This window comes from Homo sapiens, chromosome X (assembly GCF_000001405.40).
Source record: "Homo sapiens chromosome X, GRCh38.p14 Primary Assembly".
Taxonomy (NCBI): domain Eukaryota; kingdom Metazoa; phylum Chordata; class Mammalia; order Primates; family Hominidae; genus Homo; species Homo sapiens.
The window spans coordinates 141,713,790-141,721,018 of NC_000023.11; the positions used below are offsets into that span (position 1 = coordinate 141,713,790).

Below are 7,229 nucleotides of genomic sequence, written 5' to 3' on the forward strand. Positions count from 1 at the left end.
TCCTGTTAGCTTCAAGCTCTCTAAACACTTCCCTCCGGGAAAGAGGCAATTAATGGCACCTGCCTTAAAGTTTATTTTTCTTTTACTTCTTTCTCTCTGAGAAACAGGATTTTTTTAACTTGTCCCTTTTCCCTTCCTTCTCTACTAAAATCAAGTTGGTGCTATCTATGTTATAGTTTCAATGTTAAGTGAATATGAAAGTGTCTTATCACTTATACAGTCTTACATCTGTTGAGATCAAGGCATCAGTCATGTTCTTGTGGTGGGAAAGCGCGGTGGCAGGACAAAACAAGCTGCAGATTTCTGATTAACCAGGAAGCTAAAATGCAGTCCGCTGGGAAGTCCGTGCATAGATGCCTGATCTGTCCCAGGAGGTGCAGTAAACCTAACTCTAAAACCACACTCATTTGGCCTCATGAGAAAAATAATGTTAAAAGCTTAATTTCACACAATGAATATCTATTGGTGAAGAGGTCCGAGTCTTCCACGATATAAAAAATGTATTAAAAATGGATGATTACCTAACAGAGACAGGGTTAGTCATCTATGAAATGATTCTCCAAAATAACACTGAAACACGCACGCACGCACACACACACACACACACACACCACATACACATTTTGGGGGAGTAAACCCTTATGAAAGCTTATAAATTAAACTCTGCCAGTCATTTATATACCTACATGAGTGGTTTTATCAGCTCACCTCTGGAAAGCACATTGAATTTGCTATTTGTCACTAAAGGTGGGTTTTAACAGTGTTGATTCAAGACTGCTGGTGACAAGGAAAGATAACTAGTGGTCCTATGACTTAGATGTCTAAAGGATTCAATGAGATGGTTATTAGGGAAGCAAAGTGAAATTGTAGGACAAGCGAGTCTCCTGGCTTCTGGTGAATGAGGAAGTCAGAAGGCAGGCAGTCTGCTGAGAAATGTTCCTGCTTGTTCTGCCAGCCTGACCCGGGTGGTAGAACAAGCAGTGGCCATAAAGACAGTTGGCTAATCTAGGAAAAAAAGCAAAATAATTATGTGATTAAATAATGTTACACAGTTGGGGTTATTTCTCTCCCTCCATAATAGAAATGGGCAAACTATGGCCACTTAAAAGACCAGGGTACAGAGTGACGTCACCAAGATGGCTAACAAGAGTTAAGTGGTGCCCATTTTCTCCACAAAAAGGGACAAAAAACAAATAAACAATTATTTTTTGAGTACAGTGACCGAGGAAGCACTCTGGAGTGGACCAGGGGAGTGGTGAAAACCCCACAGAGCAATGAAATCCAGGACAACACCATAGAGAGGGGAATGAGGAAGCCTGCCTTTGCAACACTGTCTCCCCCATTGGGATCAGCTCAGAGTCAGGAGGAAATTAATCTTACAGTTAAAAGGTAAGCTAGAGATCCACAGTAGTCCTCATTTATGCCACAAACATTAACAATCCTTGCTACAAGAGAGTCCCCCAGTCCTCACAGTCTCTGAATCCAGTTTGGAGAGTAGCTAGGAGTTTGTGTAGCTGCATTGCCTCAGAGTAGGAGCTCAACATGAGCACCCTGCGCACCAGCGACCTAAACTGCTATGACTCAGCACCATCTTGAAATGGACCCACTAATACAGTGCATCCTGCTCTGGGGACCAGTAGCAACGGACTCTCTTCATCTCTGAGGTCCCACCATCGTGCACCAGGTGCATATGGTTGCCTGCAGCATCACGACCCCAGCTGCCCAGAGCCTAGGCCAGACTGAATGACTGAGACCTTGACATCCAAAACTGCATGGCTACCCCACGCCCTCAGGAAACAAGCAGACCTGCACAGCATGCCGGGAGCATGACAAAGCTGAAATGGTGTGTTATTCATTGAACATTGAAAGGTGGTTTCTGATGAAATAAAGAGTCATTTCAATAATTCTGAGCATTTTTTTTGCCACATCTAACTGAAAAGCAACAATGCATTCAGTTGTTGTGGAATCCAGGATGTTTAAAAAATTCAAATTTTATTATCAGTATAAATTGATGCATAATTTATAAGTGTATTGCTGATTAAAGTAAAACAGGTAAGGTATAAACAGGCCTTCCTGACAATCAGCACTTTGTTACTGCTCAAAGTTCCCTGGGTTAATCACACTCTGAATCAAAATCAGATGCTACTATGTGAACTCAAAAGGAAGTGAAATAAAAACACAATTTCCTGAAATAACTACCAGTAAGCATCACAGTAGAAACAGTCCAGGCTCTAAAATCAGAGAAACCTGGATTATAATACTGTTCTCTGCATTTTAGCAATCTTGAGCAGAAAACCTCTCAGAGACTTACTTATTTGTAGTATAGGAATATTATCTTCTAATCCTTTAGTTTATTGTAAAGGTTAAACAATGAGACAATATATGTAAAATGCCTAGCATATAACAGGTACATGCAAATAGTAGCTACTATATAAAATTTATTGATTTGCCTTATTCTCAACTAATTTATCTTCATGTAGAATCTAATGTATAAATTTAAAATAAATTCCCACAGATTGTCTTTTCCTCTTGAGAATTTACGTTTTATTATTTTTGCTATCACAATTATTATTTCTCTTTTATTTTTAAAATTTATTTATTTTTATTATACCTGAAGTTCTAGGGTACATGTGCACAACATGCAGGTTTGTTATATATGTATCCATGTGCCATGTTGGTGTGCTGCACCCATTAACTCATCATTTACATTAGGTATATCTCCTAATGCTATCCCTCCCCTCTCCCCTCACCCCGCAACAGGCCCCGGTGTGTGATGTTCCCCTTCCTGTGTCCAAGTGTTCTCTTTGTTCAATTTCCACCTATGAGTGAGAACATGCGGTGTTTGGTTTTTTGTCCTTGCGATAGTCTGCTGAGAATGATGGTGTCCAGCTTCATCCATGTCCCTACAAAGGACATGAACTCGTCCTTTTTTATGGCTGTATAGTATTCCATGGTGTATATGTGCCACATTTTCTTAATCCAGTCTATCACTGATGGACATTTGGGTTGGTTCCAAGTCTTTGCTATTGTGAATAGTGCCACAGTAGTATTTTAATTGATCAGTTTATGATGATTTGGAGAATTGTCCAGAAACTAAACAATCCTGACATTTCAGAAAGAGTAGCTGTGTTGTGAGCTACTCATTCACAAAGGACATTGCAGGAGACAAGAAGTGTTCATTGTTATTTCCAGCCTCATGTTTTCCTTTTAGTTCATTGCCTTTGTCTGGGCTACCATAACAGAATACCTGAGACGGGGTAATGTATAAAGAACAGAAATTTATTTCTCACAGGTCTGGAGGCTGGGAAATTCCAGATGAAGGCACCAACATCTGATGGGGACCTTCTTGCTGTGTCCTCAATAGTGGAAGGCAGAAGGGCAAGAGAGGAAGAACTTCCTCTGTCAAGCCCCTTTAAAAGGGCACCTAATCCCATTCGTGAGAGAGGAGCCCTCAAGGCCTAATTATATCTTAAAGGCTCCACCTCTTAAAACCATCACACTGGCAACACCAAAATTTTGGAAGGGACATACTCAAATCATAGCAGGTATTGAAACATAGATAGAGAAATGCAACTTAAATTGTTGGGAAAAAGAAGACTACATGCTGTATAATTGTATTTGTGTAAACTGTATAAACAGGTAAAGCTAATATAATCTGTTAGACTCAGAATAATTGTGACCCTAGGTGGAAAAGGCTGTGTATGTGTGCGTGTGTGTGTGTGTGTGTGTGCACGTTCGTGTATGTATTGGGAGGGTTAGTGAGTGAAAACCTCTGGGGTGCATGAAGAGGACCAGTGATGGTGATATCTTATTCTTAATCATGGTGCAAGTTACATGGGGTTCATTCAATTTGTGAAAATTCAGCAAGATAAATCCTCCTAATGTGTTTGATTCTCTGTATATGTACTATATTAAATACAAACTTTTAAATACAGGATCATGGCAAAAACATTATATTTATAATTACATATTTTTTAGAATAGTTGAAAAAAGAAAGAGAACTAAAAATTACCCAAAATTCTATCTCCAAATTATAGCCAGTGCTGACATTTTATTTTATTATTCTGCTATTATTACTCTTTTTAAACAAAACTAGAGTCGTGGTACATGTGGATTGTATCCTACTTTTGATACTATATATTATTTTTTGTAAATTCTGAATGTCATGAAATATGTTTTGAAAATATGATTTATAATACCGATGTAGTATTGCATTATATGGATATGCCATATCTTATTTTACTAGTCTCATCTGCATAGAATTTAAGTTGTTTTCTTGGTTTTGTATTTTTTTTTTTGAGATGGAGTCTGGCTCTGTCGCCCAGGCTGGAGTGCAGTGGCGCCATCTCGGCTCACTGCGACCTCCACCTCCTGGGTTCAAGCGATTCTCCCACCTCAGCCTCTCAAGTAGCTGGGATTACAAATGTGCACCACCATGCCCGACTATTTTTTGTATTTTTAGTAGAGACAGGGTTTCACCATGTTGGCCAGGCTGGTCTCAAACTCCTGACCTCAAGTGATCCGTCCGCCTTGGCATGCCAAAGTGCTGGGATTATAGTCGTGAGCCACCGCACCTGGCTGTTTTCATGGTTTTTTGCTCATAAATAATGCTATTATCAACAATATTGTACATAAGTCTGTGTCTCTCTGAACATTTCCTTAAAATAAATTCTTATTAGTGAAATTACTGAGTCCAGAGGTATAAATTCCTTAAGCTTTTAATAAATATTATCATTTTCCTCTCAAAAAATCCTGTGAAAATTTACCAGCAGTATTCAAAGGTACCAGTTTCTCTGCACCATTATCATCACAAGATGATACAGTTAATATTTATCAACATTTTACTAGCTCTGTCTTCTACCAAGTTCCTTTCCTCATGTAACTCTAGAAATCCCAAAGGAATCTGTCCATGTTTCACTCATCCAGCTTGTTCTCATTTTTTATCTCAACCAGTTGTCTGATTCCAGCTTGTTATCTCCTTACTGCCAGCTCCCAACTTGCTTCCATTGCTCAGCTGCCATTCTTGCCTTTACTGTTTTTCCACAAGTATAGAAAAAGGCCTTTTCTTCAGTTCTCTACAGCGTAAGATGAGGCTGTGTTGAAACAATTTAACCAGACTTTAACAAAGGCTTGGAGAAAACATAAAAGTTTCAAATTCCAGATATGTAAAATTGTGTTGTAGTTATAGATATTCTAATACCCCTAAGCCTCAAACCTTTCAATCAAAGTCACAGGAAGTTCTTAGGTTGATTCTGACACCTTGCAATTATATCTGTAATCTCTTACTGTTATCCAGCTACCATTTTTCAGGGAGCAGTTCAACTCCTCTACAGAAGAATGACCTTGAACATGTGTCCTATAACAGGTAACCACGACTCCAGCTTGTATAGATTTATCGTATGTGTGATGGCAGTGCAGCATTTTAAAAATCTAGTAATATTTCTGCATTTAGTGACATCACGTTGAAATCAACCATGGTGGGAATATTTACACTAGGGAAATTTAAAAATGCTTCAAATAAGGGCTAGTTTATTGTTTTTCTGATCGTCTACACTTAAAAATATGATGGAGAAAATGTTAACAATGCAGATTAAACCTAAAAGGGTGTCATGGCTGTAGGCATTGCATTGTGAATAGTAAAAAACTGAGAAAATATCTTTCCACTATTTGAAAACTACTATCTGATTCAATGAAGAAGCTATTCCTGTCATTGATGAACCAGTGATGTTCCAACATATATCTTTGTTGTTTCACTTTTATCTTACTCATTAAAACACATACAAATATCAACCAACATTTATGTGGAAACTAAACACATGGCTGGGCGTGGTGGCTCACGTCTGTAATCCCAGCACTTTGGGAGGCCGAAGTGGGCGGATCATTTGAGGCCAGGAGTTCGAGACCAGCCTGGTCAACATGGTGAAACCCCATCTCTACTGAAAATACAAAAGTTAGCTGGGCTTGGTGGTGCATGCCTGTAATCCAGTCCCAGCTTATCGGGAGGCTGAGGCAGAAGAATCGCTTGAACCCGGGAGGCACAGGTTGCAGAGAGCGAAGATCCCGCCACCGCACTCCAGCCTGGGCGACAGAGTGAGGAGATTCCATCTCCAAAAATGAAAAAAAAAAAAAAAAAGAAAAGAAAAGAAACTAAACACATTTATCAGCTGCAGCCATAGTTTGGTTATGGAAACAAGAGTTTGGCAAAATTCAATAAAAGCATTTTGTAAGAATCAATAGGTTCTTCGATATTTTCAAAAAAGTGTTATATATTTGAGTAATATTTGTAAATTATATGCTAGTACTTCTTTAAAACAATAAACCTTAAATATAAATATGTGTGCATATGTATACTGGTGGGTGTCACACCACTCACACCCATATGCAGTATTTTTGTTTTAATATAAAACTGGGTGTTAAGGAATTGCTGGTGCACTATTGACATAGAACCTATGTGACATTCTGGATTTTAATTATTGTGAGATACGAAGGCATGGAGGGGGTTTTTAGGAGAGGAAATAACATAATTTAACTTATGATTTAACAGGATGTAACAGGATCACTATAGCTTGCATGTTAAGGACAGACTGAGAGCACAGTTGTAGACATAGGAAAACCTAGGAGGCTACTGGCAATATTCCAGGTCATAGACTATGGTGGCTGAAACCAGGATAGTATGAGTAGGGATAGCGAGAAGTTGTCAGCTCTTGCATATATTTTGAAGTTAGAATCCACAGGATTGTTGATGGATTAAATGTACATTTTGAAAAGAAAAGTGGAATTAAAAATTAGTCCAGGCTGGGCACTGTGACTCAAGTCTGTAATCCCAGCACTTTGGGAGGCCGATGTTGGTGGATCATGAGGTCAGGAGTTCAAGACCAGCCTGATCAACATAGTGAAACCCTGTCTCTACTAAAAATACAAAAAAGTGGCCAGGCATGGTGGTGCACACCTGTAGTCCCAGCTACTCGGGAGGCTGAGGCAGGAGAATCGCTTGAACCTGGGAGGCGGAGGTTGTGGTGAGCCGAGATCACGCCACTGCACTCCAGCTTGGACAACAGAGTGACACTCCATTTCAAAAAAAAAAATAGTCCAAGGTTTTCGGCCTAAGCAACAGGAAATTTGGAATTACCATCCACTGTAGAAAAGACTAAGAGTAGATAGGGAAGACTAACAGACTAAATTTTGATTGATACTTGTATTACATTAATCCTCAGATTAGAGGAGATTGT

General features: G+C 39.1%; 1 annotated feature.

Annotated features, from left to right (window-relative positions):
* Positions 621-1,820: an enhancer, noted in NCBI's record as "MED14-independent group 3 enhancer chrX:140802566-140803765 (GRCh37/hg19 assembly coordinates)". NCBI's record gives its function as "activates an origin of replication core promoter dependent on BRD2, BRD4, P300/CBP and CDK7 cofactors, and independent of MED14, by STARR-seq in HCT116 cells {active_cell/tissue: HCT116}" and the evidence as "EXISTENCE:reporter gene assay evidence [ECO:0000049][PMID:35650434]".